The sequence below is a fragment of the Homo sapiens genome, chromosome 12, assembly GCF_000001405.40.
Source record: "Homo sapiens chromosome 12, GRCh38.p14 Primary Assembly".
Lineage (NCBI taxonomy): Eukaryota > Metazoa > Chordata > Mammalia > Primates > Hominidae > Homo > Homo sapiens.
Genome location: NC_000012.12, coordinates 63,358,888 through 63,375,053, shown reverse-complemented (window position 1 = coordinate 63,375,053; position 16,166 = coordinate 63,358,888). Strand labels below are relative to the sequence as shown.

Sequence of the window (16,166 nt, the reverse complement as noted above, 5' to 3'; positions counted from 1 at the left end):
AATTCCCACTAGCAGCCATAAAAAAGAGCAAAATTTTGTCCTTTACAGGGACAGGGATGGAGCTGGAAACCATTATCTTCAGCAAACTAACACAGCAACAGAAAACCAAACACCACATGCTCTCACTTATAAGTGGGAGCTGAATGATGAGAACACATGGACACATTGGGGGAACAACACACACTGGGACCTGTGTGTGGAGGGGGCAGTGAAGGAAGGAGGGAGAGCATCAGGAAGAATAGCTAATGGATGCTGGGCTTAATACCTAGTGATGGGACGATCTGTGCGGCAAACCACCATGACACATGTTTACCTGTGTAACAAACCTGCACATCCTGCAGAGGTACTACTGAACTTAAAATAAAAGTTGAAGACTTTTTAAAAAATCTAGAAAATTCCCCTGGGCTCCCCTTAAATCAGCCAACATTTCTTCAGAGGCAATCAGTACTTAGATTTTTATCATCCTATATTAGTTTTGCATATTTTTGAGCTTCATCTAAATAAGAATCAATTAGTATTCCTTTATGTTTACCTTCTTTTGGCCAACATAATATTCTTAAGATTGGCTCATGTTGCTATGTGTTCAGAAGTTTATTCTTTTTTGTTATGTGTTATTTCACTGTATATATATACTATATGTAAATAAGCCAAAGTCATTCATTCTCCTTTGATTAACATTCGGGTTGTTTCCAGTTTTTGACTGTTACAGTTGCTATGAGTATTTTACTTGAGTCTTTTTGTAGAAATATATTTTCATTTTACTTCTGTAAATGCCTAGGAGTTGAATTGCTGGATCATACAGTAAGCATATATTTAAATTTATGAGATACTACCAAATATATCTCCAAAAAGCTTGCTCCATTTTGCACTCTCACCAGTAATTTTGGGAGTTCCAGATGCTCTGTATCCTTACCAATACATGCAATTGAACTTTTTAAATTTTGGGCATTCTAGTATGTATGTAGTATCTCGTGTGGTTTTAACTTGTATTTCTCTGATGACCAATGATGTTGTGCCTCTGCTCATGTAATTGTTGGTCATTCACTAATCCTTGTTTGTTTGTTTGTTTGTTTGTTTGTTTTGAAGAAGAATCTGTCCAAAACATTTGTTTATTTTCATTGTTTTATTTTGTTATTAACTTGTAAATGTTCTTTATATATTCTGGATAAAAATATATATCATTTTCTTCAGTATGCATCTTGAGTTTTAATTTTTTATTGATGTTATTTGATTTTTATCAATATCTTTTGAATAGTAGAATTTTTAATTAAAGTTGAATCTATCAATTTTTTTTTCACAGGTAATACTTTTAGTGTCCTGGCTAAAAATTCCTTGCTGTACAAGGTAATGGAGACTTTCTTTTATATATTCTTCTAGAAGTTTAATAGTCTCAGTTTTTATATTTAAGCCTATAATTCTAATTAATTTTTATATTTGGTGTGAGGAAAATAGCATAGCTTCTTTTGTCCCATATTGATATCCGGTTGTTTCAGCACTACTTGTTTAAAGATTATCCTTTTTCCATTGAATTAAGCTGTTGACTTTACACAATCAATTTGCCATATGTATGTGGGTCTATTTCTGGAGTCTCTATTCTATTCTATTAAATTATTATTTTAAAATCATAATACATTAATTAGAAATGTGTTTTTAAATTTCTAAATATTTGAAGGATTTTCTAGATATCTTACTGTTTTGTATTTATAATTTAAATCCATAAATTATATAGATGGAGTGAGAGCATACACTTAAGATTTCAATCCCTAAAAATGTACTGAGACTTATTTTATGGTCCAGTATAGGCTTATCTTAGTGAACATCCAAAGGATGCTTCAAAAAAAATGGTTATTTTGCAGTTTTTTTTGATGTAGTGTTTTATAAATGTCAGTAAGATCAAACTGATTTTTACTGTTGTTCAGACTGTCTGTATCTTGAATTATTTTTGGTCTATTTCTTTCATCAGTTATGTGGGGAAGAGGAAAGACTGCTAAAAAAGTCAAACTAATTTGTGAACTTGTCTTTTTCCTTTTTAAGTTGTGTTAGGTTTTTGCTTCGTCATTTTTAAAGCTCTGTTATTAGTGAATGTACATTTAAGGTTGTTACGTCTTTCTGAAGAAATGCCTTTATTGTCATCATGAATTGTCTCTATCTCTGAAATCTACTTTGTTTGAAATTAATATTATAACACCAGATTTCTTATGCTTACAATTTGTTTGGTATATCTTTTTCTATCCTCTTACTTTTAATCTATTTGCTTCTTTGAATTTAAAGTGCACCTCTTTGAGACAGTGTGTAGTGACAGTCTCTGCTTTAAATGGGAGAGTTTGGTTGGTTTATTTATATTTAATGTATTTATGGATATAGTAGGATTTAATCCTAGCACCCATTTGTTTTTTTCTCATGTCCCTTAAGTATTTTGCTTCTCTCCTGCTCCTCTCCTGAATTTTTTTGGGCCAATTGAATTTATTTGTTGATTATAGTATTCCATTTACAAGGCTAGCGGTGTTCATTTTTACCTTAACAAAGTCTATTCAGAGTCAATATTTTACCACTTCACATTTCATACCTGATCTACTTCCTACTTACTCTTAATCATCTGAATCTTCTCAGTTCCTATTTCATACTTCTCACATTTCCACTTCTCACTTCACAAATTTGATAACTTACAATAGTATAATTGCATTACCCTCCCTATCATTCATTGTGATAGCATTGCCTATCTTTTATTTTGATACACTAAATAACTCCAAAACTATATCATTATTATTTTTTACTTTAAAGAATAAGTATCTTTCAAGAAAATACTAGGTAATAACAGTAACTTTTTATAATACTGACTTATTTTCTATTTCCAAGCTCTTCTTTCTTCCTGTAGAGTTTTCATCTAGTATCCTTTACCTTTAGCCTAAAGACCATTCTTTACAATTTCCTGGGGCTCAAAAATGCTGCAACAAATTTTCCTACTTTCGTTTTTCTGAAATATTTTTATTTCAGTCCCCTTTTTTGAAACATGTATTGCTGGATGTATAATTTTGGGCTGGCAGTTTCTTCTCTTTCTATTGTCTTCTGTCCTCCACTGTATTTGAGGTAACTCAGCTATCGTACTTATCTTCCCCCATATGTAATATGGCTTTTTACATTGGTGGAACCCCTTCTCTGTGGCTCCTTTCTCTTTAGTGGCCTGCCCTGAAAATTCTAACTATTCCAGCAACCTCAAACTTTCTTCTGTCTCCTTTGACCTGTGAGAGTGCTACTTTCTCTTTGGGCTTCAGTTCTATGCATCATGATATGGAAAGTTCTCCCAGAAAGAAAGTTGGAGTAAGTATAGAGCTCACATTGTTTACTTCCATTCTCTCAATGATCATGAGAGAATCATTGTGAGAGAATGGTTATTATGAGTAGATCTGTATGATCTACTAATGACCAGAAAATAATAGAATAGTTTCACACATTTTTGCAGTTTTTTCTTTGTGTATGGCAGGAAACTAAGTTGGATACAAGCTCTTCATCATGACCAATTACATATTCTTAAAGTTACTTTTCTGGGTCACATTCCCACATTCACCCCTAAAGGGATTCTTGCTTTATATTTAATAGTTTAATCTCCAGGAAAGTGCTTTGGAACTCAAGCAAAAAAATGATCTCTTCTTCATGCTCCTGGAAAGAAACTCCATCTCAAAGCTTTTGTACTTTCAAAAGTTATTGCAAAATCCTTTGTTATTAAGCCCCAGATGACCTCATGTATATGACAAGTAACCTCATCTATTGGGCAGAGTTAATATGGTGTGTTATGATCCGACGGAGCTGAAAAACACGGCATGAGAACTTCATGAAGCGTACACAAGTATAAATGGCCAAATTGATGAAGCAGAAGAAAGAATATCGGAGATTGAAGACCACCTTGCTGAAACAGAGCATGCAGACAAGATTAGAGAAAACAGAATGAAAAGGAACAACCAAAGCCTCTGAGAAATATGGGACTATGTGAAAAGACCAAACTACATTTGATTAGTGTACCTGAAAGTGATGAGGAGAATGGAACCAAGTTGGAAAACACACTTCTGGATATTATCCAGGAGAACTTCCCCAACTTAGCAAGACAGGCCAACATTCAAATTCAGAAAATACAGAGAACACCACTAAGATAAGATACTCCACAAGAAGATCAACCCAAAGACACATAATCGTCAGATTCACCAAGGTTGAAATGAAGGAAATAATATTAAGGGCAGCCAAAGAGAAAGGTTGGGTCATCTACAAAGGGAAGCCCATCAGAGTAACAGTGGATCCCTCTGCAGAAACCCTACAAGCAATAAGAAAGAGGGGCCGATATTTAACATTCTTAAAGAAAAGAATTTTCAACCCAGAATTTCATATCCAGCCAAACTAAGCTTCATAAGAGAAGGAGAAACAAAATCCTCTCCAGACAAGCAAATGCTGAAGGATTTTGTCACCACCAGGCCTGCCTTACAAGAGCTCCTAAAGGAAGCACTAAATATGAAAAGGAAAAACTGGTACCAGCCACTACAAAAGCACACCAAAATATAAAGACCAATGACACTATGAAGAAAATGCATCGATTAATGTGCAAAATAACCAGCTAGCATCATGATGACCGAATCAAATTCACACATAAAAATATTAACCTTAAACATAAATGGGCTAAATGCCCCAATTAAAAGACACAGACTGGCAAATTGGATAAAGAGTCAAGACTCATTGGTGTGCTGTATTCAGGAGACGCATCTCATGTGCAAAGACACACATAGGCTCAGAATAAAAGGATGGAGAAATATTTACCAAGCAAATAGAAAGCAAAAAAAAGCGGGGGTTGCAATCCTAGTCTCTGATAAAACAGACTTTAAACCAACAAAGATCAAAAAAGACAAAGAAAGACATTACATAAAGGTAAAAGGATCAATGCAACAGGAAGACCTAACTATCCTAAATATATATATACACCCAGTACAGGAGTATATATTATACAGCAAGTCCTTAGAGACCTACAAAGAGACTTAGACTCCCACATAATAATAGTGAGAGACATTAACACACACTGTCAATATTAGACAGATCAATGAGACAAAAAATTAACAAGGATATTCAGAACTCAAACTCAGTTCTAGATCAAGTGGATCTAGTAGACATCTACGGAACTCTCAACCACAAATCAACAGAATATACATTCTTTTCAGTGCCACATGGCACTTATTCTAAAATTGACCACATAATCGGAAGTAAAACACTCCTCAGCAAATGCAGAATAATGGAAATCATAACAAACAGTCTCTGAGACCACAGCACAATCAAATTAGAACTCAGGATTAAGAAACTCACTCAAAACCACACAACTACATGGAAACTGAACAATCTGCTCCTGAATGACTACTGGGTAAATAACAAAATTAAGGCAGAAATCACAAAGTTCTTTAAAACCAATGAGAACAGAAACAACATACCAGAATCTCTGGTACACAGCCAAAGCAGTGTTTAGAGGGAAATTTATAGCACTAAATGCCTACATCAGAAAGCTGTAAACATCTAAAATCGACACCTTAACAACACAATTAAAAGAATGAGAAGCAAGAGCAAAAACAATTCAAAAGCTAGCAGAAGACATGAAATAACTAAGATCAGAGCAGAACTGAAGGAGATGGAGACACGAGAAACCCTTCAAAAAATCAATGAACCCAAGAGCTGTTTTTTTGCAAAAATTAACAAAATAGATAGACCACTAGCTAGACTAATGAAGAAGAAAAGAGAGAAGAAGCAAATGCACACAATAAAAATGATAAAGGGGAAATCACCACTGATCACACAGAAACACAAACTACCATCAGAGAATATTATAAACACCTCTACACAAATAAACTAGAAAATCTAGAAGAAATGAATAAATTCCTGGGAACATACACCCTCTCAAGTCTAAACCAGGGAGAAGTTGAATCCCTGAATATGCCAAGAACATTCAGGCATTAATAGTCAACTAACCAAAAAAGCCCAGGACCAAATGGATTCACAGCCAAATTCTACCAGAGTTATGAAGAGGAGCTGGTACCATTCCTTCTGAAACTATTCCAAACAATAAAAAAAGATGGACTCCTCCCTAACTCATTTTATGAGGCCAGCAGCATCCTGATACCAAAGCCTGGCAGAGACACAAGAACAAAAAAAGAAAACTTCAGCCCAATATCCCTGATGAACATCAATGCAAAAATCCTGAATAAAATACTGGCAAACTAAATCCAGCAGCACATTAAAAAGCTTATCCCCCACAATCAAGTCAGCTTCATCCCTGGGATGCAAGGCTGGTTCAACATACACAAATCAGTAAACATAATCCATCACATAATCAGAACCAATGATGAAAACCACATGATTATCTCAATAGATACAGAAAAGGCCTTTGATAAAATTCAACATCCTTTCATGTTAAAAACTCTCAAGAAACTAGGCACTGATGGAACATATCTCAAAATAATAAGAGCTATTTATGACAAACCCATAGACAATATCATACTGAATGGGCAAAAGCTAGAAGCATTCCCTTTGAAAACCATCACAAGATAAGGATGCCCTCTCTCACCACTCCTATTCAACATAGTATTGGAAGTTCTGGCCAGGGCAATCAGGCAAGAGAAAGAAATAGAGTGTATTCAAACAAGAAGAGAGGAAGTCAGTTGTCTCTCTTTGCAGGTGACATGTTTGTATATTTAGAAAATTCCATCATCTCAGCCCCAAAACTCCTTAAGCTGATAAGCAACTTCAGCAAAGTCTCAGGATACAAAATCAATGTGCCAAAATCACAAACATTTCTATACACCAGCAATAGACAAGCAGAGAGCAAAATCATGAATGAACTCCCATTCACAATTGCTACAAGGAGAATAAAATACCTGGGAATACAACTTACAACGGATGTGCAGGACCTCTTCAAGGAGAACTACAAATCATTGCTCAAGGAAATAAGAGAGTACACAAACAAATAGAAAAACATTCCATGCTCATGGATAGAAAGAGTCAATATCATGAAAATGGCCATACTGCCCAAAGTAATTTGTAGATTCAATGCTATTCTCATCAAGCTATCATTGACTTTATTGCAGAATTAGAAGAAACTATTTTAAATTTCATATGGAACCAAAAAAGAGCCCATATAGCCAAGGCAATGCTAAGCAAAAATAACAAAGCTAGAGGCATCTTGCTACCTGACTTCAAACTATACTACAAGGCTACAGTAACCAAAACAGCATGGTACTGGTACCAAAAAAGATATATAGACCAATGGAACAGAACAGAGACCTCAGAAATAACACCACACATCTACAACCATCTGATCTTAGACAAACCTGACACACACAAGCAATGGGGAAAGGATTCCCTATTTAATAAATGGTGTCGGGAAAACTGGCTAGCTATATGCAGAAAACTGGAACTGGACCGCTTCCTTAGACGTTATACAAAAATTAACTCAAGACAGATTAAAGATGTAAATGTAAAACCCCAAACCATAAAAACCCTAGAAGAAAACCTAGGCAGTACTATTCAGAACATAGGCATGGACAAATACTTTGGGACAAAAACACCAACAGCAATTGCAACCAAAGCCAAAATTGACAAATGGGATGTAATTAAACTAAAGAGCTTCTGCATAGGAAAACAAACAAAAACTATTATCAGAGTGAGCAGGAAGCCTACAAAATGGGAGTTAATTTTTGCAATCTATCCATCTGACAAAAGTGTAATATCCTGAATCTACAAGGAACTTAAACAAATTTTCATGAAAAAAACAAACAACTCCATCAAAAAGTGGGCGAAGGATATGAACAGACACTTCTCAAAAACAAAAGACTTTTATGTGGCCGACAAACATATGAAACAAAGCTCATCATCACTGATCATTAGAGAAATGCAAATCAAAACCACAATGAGATACCATCTCATGCCAGTTAGGATGGCGATTATTAAAAAGTCAGGAAACAACAGATGTTGGAAAGGCTGTGGAGAAATAGGAATGCTTTTACACTGTTGGTGTGAGTGTAAATTAGTTCAACCATTGTGGATGACAGTGTGGCTATTCCTCAAGGATCTAGAACCAGAAATACCATTTGACCCAGCAAGCCCATTACTGGGCATATACCCAAAGGATTATAAATCATTCTACGATAAAGACACATGCACATGTTTGTTTACTGCAGCACTATTTACAATAGCAAAGACTTGGAACCAACCCAAATGCCCATCAATGATAGACTGGATAAAGAAAATGTGGCACATATACACCATAGAATACTATGCAGCCATTAAAAAGGATGAGATCATGTACTTTGCAGGGACATGGATGAAGCTGGAAGCCATAATTCTCAGCAAACTAACACAGGATCAGAAAACCAAACACCATATGTTCTCACTCATAAGTTGGAGTTGAACAATGAGAACACATGGACACAGGGAAGGGGACAACACACACTGGGGCTTCTCAGGGGTTGGGGAGCAAGTGGAGGGAGAGCATTAGGACAAATATCTAATGCATGCGGGGCTTAAGACCTAGATAATGTGTTGATAGGTGCAGCAAACCACCATGGCTCATGTATACCTATGTAACAAACCTGCACATTTTCCACATATATCCCAGAACTTAAAGTAAAATAATAGTAATAGTAATAAAAAGTAATAGTAATAAAAAACAAAGTCCTGGCGGGGTGTGGTGGCTCACGCCTATAATCCCAGCACTTTGGTAGGCCGAGGCAAGCAGATCATGAGGTCAGGAGATAGAGACCCTCCTGGCCAACATCTTGAAACCCTGTCTCCATGAAAATACCAAAAATTGGCCAGGCATGGTGGCGCATGCTTGTAGTCCCAGCTATTTGGGAGGCTGAGGCAGGAGAATCACTTGAACCCAGGAGGCAGAGGTTGCAGTGAGTGGAGATCATGCCACTGCACTCCAGCCTAGCAACAGAGCGAGACTCCATCTCAAAAAACAAAAAACAAAGTCCTCAGTCAATTCTACAAAAAATACTATGCTGTGAAGGCACTTCAGAGGTGGTCCACAACGACCAACCATTGAATGCAGGCTTCCTCTATGGAGGAGAGGAATGGCTTTGGGTAGCTTGTTAAGGTTGAGGTCACAAGACAAATTCAGCTGAAAGCTGCCAGCTGCTAACACTCTCAGCATCTGGGTGAACACATACCTTAGCCCTGAAAGGCAGCAGGAAACAGGTTGATAGAATTATTCAGCTGCTCTTCAAGGACAGAGCCACAGACCCAGAGAGTAGAATCTTGAGCTACAGCAAGTGGAGCCTCCAGTCACAGAGGATTATTCCCAGACCTTGAAGCCTAATGGATTTTGCCCTGCTGGATTTCAAAATTGCTTGTGACAAGTAACTTTTTTCTTCCTTTTATTTTCTCTCTTCTGGGATAGAACTGTCCATAACTGTTATTCCATGCCTGTTCCATCATTATATTTTGGAAGTGGATAACTGGCTATCTCACTTCACAGGTACATAGAAGGAGAGGAATTTTGCCCCAGGATGGGGCAACTCAGGAGTAACTCTGCTCCTCTCAGTGAAATCCTGGGTCTGCTTTTCAGCACAGTTTGCTTTCCAGCTACAAGACATGTCATCTCTATGTGTGTCCATAGTGACTTTCTGGCTTTCATGCTGTACCTTAAGTTGGTAGGTGGCTGACCTGTGTAACATCATGTGTCTAAAAGATTAAAAATATTGTTTATCACAAGAACAAACCAACATCAAAGCTAGCATGAGAAAAGAAATAATTAACATTAGAGCAGAACTGAATGAAATTGAGACCCCAAAATCTATACAAAGAATCAATGAAACCAAAAGTTGGTTCTTAGAAAGGATAAGTAAGATTGAAAGATTGTTAAATAGATTAACAGATTAAAAAAGAGAGAGGATCGAAATAGGCACAATCAGAAATGACAAATATGACATAGCAACCAATCTCACAGAAACACAAAAGATCCTCAGAGACTACTATGAACATCTCTGTGCACACGAACTAGAAAATGTAGAGGAAATAGATAAATTCCTGTAAACACATGATCTCCCAAGATTGAATCAGGAAGAAATCGAAACCTTGACACCAATATCTAGTTCCAAAATTTAACCAGTAATAAAAAACCTACCAATAAGATGTATTCACAACTGAGTTTTACCAGATGTACAAAGAAAAGCTGGTACAAACTCTACTGAAACTATTCTGAAAAACTGAAGAGAAGGGACTCCTTTCCAACTCATTCTATGAAGCTAGCATCACCCTGACATCAAAACCTGGCAAAGACACAATGAAAAAGAAAACTACAGGCCAATATCCCCGATGAACATAGGGGTAAAAATCCTCAACAAAAGACTAGCAAATGGATTTCAATAGCACATCAGAAAGTTAATTCACCATGATCAAGAAGGCTTCATTCCTGGGATGCAAGGTTGGCTTAACATATGCAAATCAATAAATGTGATCCACCACGTAAACAGAATTAAAAACCAAAACCGTATGATCATCTCAAGCTCCATGGAAAAAGCTTTCCATAAAATCCAACATCCCTTTATCTTAAAAATCCTCAAGAAACTAGTCATCAAAGGAACATAATTTAAAATTGTAAGACCCATATATGGCAAACCCACAGCTGATACCATACTGAATGGGCAAAAACTGAAAGCATTTCTCTTGAGAACTGGAATGAGACAAGGATGCCTACTCTTACCACTCCTGTTCAGCATACCACTGGAAGTGCTAACCAGAGCAATCATGTTAAGAGAAAGAAAAGGCATCCAAATTAGAAAAAAAAAAATCAAACTATCTATCTTCATGGATGATATGATTCTGTATCTGGAAAACCCTAAAGACTATACCAAAAGACTCCTGGAACTAATAAAGTTTACTTCTGTAAAGTTTCAGGAGACAAAATCAACGTACAAAAAGTCAGTAGCATTTCTATACACCAATAGCATTTAAGCTGAGAGACAAATCAAGAATGTAATCCCATTTACAATAGCCACACATAAACAAATAAAATACCTACAAATACATCTAAGCAAGGAAGTAAAAGATCTACAAAAGACCTACAAGGAGAACTACAAAACACTGCTAAAATAAATCATAGATGACATAAACAAATGGAAACATATTCCATGCTCATGGATTGGAAGAATTAATATTATTAAAATGGCCATGGTGCCCAAAGCAATCTACGGATTCAACGCTATTCCTATCAAACGACCAACCTTATTTTTCACGGAATATATTCTAAAATTCATATACAACTGAAAAATAGCCCAAATAGCCAAATCTATCCTAAGCAAAAAGAATAAAGCTGAAGGCCATCACATTACCCAGTTTCAAATTATATAAGGCTATAATAACGAAAACAGAATGTACTGTACAAAAACAGACACAGACCAATGGAACAGAATAGAGAACCCAGAAATAAAGTTGCACACCTATAGCCATCTAATCTTTGACAAAGTCAACAAAAATAAGCAATGGGGAAAGGACTCCCTATTCAATAAATGGTGCTGGGGTAGATAGCAGGCTAGCCATATGCAGAAGAATGAAACTGAACTCTTACCTTTCACCATATGCAAAAATCAACTCAAGATGGATTAAAGATTAATGTTACATCTCAAAATACAAGAATCTTAGAAGAAAACATAGGAAATATCATTCTGGTCATCTGCCTTGGGAAAGAATTTATGATTTATGACTAAGTCCTCGAAAGCAATTGCAAAAAAACAAAAATTGACAAGTGGGACCTAATTAAACTAAAGAGTTTCTGTACAGCAAAATAAACTATCAACAGAGTGAGCAAATAACCTGCAGAATGAGAGAAAATATTCACAAGCTATGCGTCTGACAAAGGTCTAAGATCCAGAATCTATAAGGAAATTAATTGAACAAGCAAAAAACAAATAACCCTATTAAAAATAAGCAAAAAACATGAACAGACTTCTGAAAGGAAGCCATACAAGTGGCCAACTACCATATGAAAAAATGCTTCACATCATTAATCATCAGAGAAATGCAAATCAAAACCACAATGAGATACCATCTCACACCAGTCAGAGTGGCTATTACTAAAAAGTCAACAAACAACAGATGTTGGCAAGACTGTGGAGAAAAGGGAATGGTTATACATGATTGATGGGAATGTAAATTAGTTCAGATACTTTGTAAAGCAGTTTGGAGATTTCTCAAAGATCTTAAAACAGAGTGATCATTCAACCCAGGAATCCCATTTCTGGGTATATATCCAAAAAAAAAAAAAAAAAACAAATCATTCTTCCAAACACACACACACACACACACACACACAGACACACACAACAAACACAAAACAAAACACATGCACTTGCATTTTCATTGCAGCAGTATTCACAGTAGCAAAGACATGGGATCAACCTAGGTGCCCATCAACAGTGGATTGAATAAAGAAAATGTGGTACATATAAACCATGGAATACTATGCAGCCATAAGCAAGAATGAAATCATGTCCTTTTCAGCAACATGGATGCAGCTGGAAGCCATTATCCTAAGCAAATTAATGCAGAAACAGAAAACCAAATACTGCATATTCTCACGTATAACTGGGAGGTAAACGTTGGGTACTCATGGACATAAAGATGGCAACAATAGACCAATTATGCTGTAATATAATAGGCTTATTCTTCTCCTATATTTTATTACTCTGTCTTAATCATTCCTATTGCCAAGTGACTTGCCATGGTTTATTTGCCAGTCATCACAGGAGGAACATACAGAGATATTTTTCTCAATAAAGAATGTTCTACAGCTCACATTTAGTCTAGGGTAATCTGGGTTCTCTGTTGTGTTCAGAGTTTAACAATTCATTGTTACAATCTAATCCTGCAGTTAGTAAATGGTATTTTGAAGACTTCATAAAAATATAACTGACAGGTTCAAATCTGTTTTTAAGTTAAAAGAAAGATATTTTTTCTTTATTATAGGCCTCTCTTTGGTGACTTTGATGCAAGACTAGTCATCATTTAGGGATTATTTTACTCTACTTACTATTAGTCCCCACCCAGAACATACGGGAAAATATACCCACTATCAAATATTGGGGACTGCTAGAGGGGAAAGGGAGGGAGGGAGGGAAGAAAGTGTTGAAAAACTAACTTTTGGGTACTATACTCAGTACCTGGGTGACAGGACCATTCATGCCCCAAACCTCAGCATCATACAATATACTCATGTAACAAACCTGCATATGTGCCCCTGGATCTAAAAATAAAAGTTGAAAAAAAAGAGAAAAGATAAAAAGTATTTCAAGATATACTGAAAAGGTACATTTCTTTTAGATTCAATGGAATTTCTTGCTTTTTCTTCTTTCTCTACTTTTCTAAATACATTTAAATTCTTGGATCTCAGGAAATCATTGTTTTTAGGTGTTTATTAGTTTTCTGACACTCTTCATGCTCAATTTGTGATTTAATACACATAATTATTTTACATACAAATAACTCTAAAAGTTTACACAAACGATTGAATTTAAAGGGCCAATATATACTTTTTTATTCACTTGTTAACTTATTTTCAAAATAATGGGCCAGTTAACTAAATTCAACTGGGTTTTTTTTCTTCTTTTGTTTTTTTAATTTGCTTGCTTGATTGGTTAACCACTTGCAGGTATGCAAACATGAAAGATGAAAAAAATTGAAGAGGGTAGTGCAAAAACCATCTTACATGCCTAGAATTTTTCCAGAGATCCTAAAAGATTTGAGTATAAGAAAGGCAATGTGCATTTGAATTGCTTGGAAGCAGCTGCAGTAGCAAATTGAAGCAAAGTAAGTCATTCTGCCTCTTCTCATTATATGAAGGCAAATACAAAATTATTAAAGATATATAAATATTTATCAAAGGACTATTTTTGTATATACCGATATTGGATATTGGCTGTATTTTTCCAGATGTTCTGGGTGGGGGACTAATGCTGAGTAGAGTAAAATATCCCCAAATGATTACCAATAATCTTGTATCAAAGTCCCCAAAGAGAGGGCTATAATAAAGAAAAACATGTTTCTTTTAACTTAAGAGCAGATGTAAACCTATGATTTGTGTTTTTATGGAGTCCTCAAAATACCACTTACTAATTGTATTTGTGGGCATAGATTGTAATAATGAATGGTTAAACTCTGAACACAACAGAGAGCCCAGATTACCCTAGACTGAATGTGAGATGTAGAACACTCCTTACTGAGAAAAAATATCTCTGTGTGTTCCTCCTGTGATGACTGACAAATAAACCCTAGTAAACCATTCAGCAATAGAAATGACTAAGTCAGAAGTAAGGAAATACAGGAGTAGAATAAGCCTATTATATTGCAGTATAACTGGTCTAATTCAAAGGAACAAACTGGTAGTTTCTTATCATAAAATGACTCCAAAGAGCAGCATCATTAAAAGTTGTTCTAAGTTGTTCCAATAGGTCTTTAAAACCAGTAACTGCTAGGAAACTTGTATCAAGTAAATGGGAATAAATAACGATATAAAAGGAAAACCAGATCAAACAGAAACATCAACAATAATGAGGTTAGCAGTAGTTAAACTCTCTTGGACACACATTTGTTCCATGGATTTCAAGGTTAAAGAAAGTTCAACTTACAAATCCTTAGCAGGATAGCGATCAGTGACCCCTAAACACAGAAGAGTGTTTATTTTGCAGCCTCCTGTGGGTGCCACAACAGGGCTTACAGTTCAACTGAATCCACTTCACATATGCATTTTATCCCTTCAAGGGAGATTAGCAGAGGGAAGATGGGCAGAAAGGCCCAAATCTTTCATTTTTGAATCAACCCCAAATTTTCCTCCCACCCTCATATGTGTACAAATGATGTACTTAGTCCTGATGCTCACATATTCCAGTCTTGTACTAAGAAAATATCTTAAACCATCAAACAAGCTCCAGTGATTTCTAGTTCTTTGACAGAGTATCCAGCAACATTTCAGTCCTTGGTAGGGGAAGGGAAAGGAGAGGGAGAGGGAGAAGGAGATGGAGAGGGAGAGGAGAATCATTCTTTACAGAGGAAAAGTACACAGCAATGGCATTCTGGTGTTTTACTTTTGTGTTAAATATGTCTCTACTTGAAGGGGAAATGTTTTTACTGAAGGAATAACATGTTCTTACTTCTTTCAAAGGTAAGTTTTAAATTTGACTAATAAATCAAATTTTTGTCTTATTTCATGCTATTTGCCCGGGAATGTACTACACCTTTTGGGAGTAGAAGAGGGATGAATGCATGATTCCTGCACCAGAAATAGTGTAACTGAACACATTAAATAGTTGAGAAACAAATCAGGATACTAATTTGTGAGGCACAGACTGAAGGATTTCTGTGAAGTTGGAGCATTCCATTTGGGATGCGCTGACAGAGAAGTTTTCCGGGAAGAATTGTGACTTGTGTTAGACCGCAAATGTCACTTCAAGGCTATGCTAATAAATATACAGTAACAGGAAAATCAATAACATTTTCTCACGCTTACTATTTCCTGATTCTAGGTCTTTGCTCATGACATTCTTTCTCGTCCAGAGTATTGCTCCCCGCGATGTGATCAATTACTTCTTCCAAAATCTGGCTCTGAACACACCTCCCCAGGAAGTCCATTCTAGTATTTCCTTTGCACATCATCATTTTCAATAATTCCATCTGGCTGTGCTACTTTTCATTTTAATTGCTCTTAGGTCATTGGCTCGGGCATGCTGTTTTGTTGAGCTTGAATTACTAATATGCACCAAATGTAGCATTTGTTCATTTAATATTATTTGTTTTCTCCTTTATTCTTTCACCATCCAGAACAAGTTTTCACACCTAGTAGGTTTCTTGGTTTATGTGAATTTGTTTTTCTGAACTTTGAGAATCAGGTGGAATTCAGAAAAGCTCTTCTAACTTCTCATAGATTTCTCTCTCTCGTACCGTTTTTTTTTAAGATGAAGCTTAACTTACTGAGTTTTTCCTTCTTGATTCCTTTCTCCCACTTTGGCCCAGACTTTCACCTTTGCTTCTCCTTGAAGTTTCTAACTGGCTCAATATTTTTAAATCTGCTTTTTTTGAACTATAATTTGCATATAAAATTGCAAACTTTGGTGAGTTTTGACATATGCATACAATATTATAACTGCCATCTC

The 16,166-nt window shown here is 35.8% G+C and overlaps 1 long non-coding RNA gene across 3 annotated transcripts in view; it reads left to right on the top strand.

Moving 5' to 3' along the window:
* Nucleotides 1-1,300: 1,300 nt before the first annotated feature.
* Nucleotides 1,301-16,166, top strand: part of LINC03056 (long intergenic non-protein coding RNA 3056) — a 90,518-nt gene continuing 75,652 nt past the window's right edge. For 2 of the 3 annotated variants that reach the window (XR_007063344.1, XR_007063343.1), the window contains exon 1: nt 14,983-15,178. This is a non-coding gene — a long non-coding RNA (long intergenic non-protein coding RNA 3056). Of the gene's footprint in view, nt 1,345-14,982; nt 15,179-16,166 lie in introns of those variants that run through there. The other variant, XR_007063345.1, reaches the window with a different exon arrangement.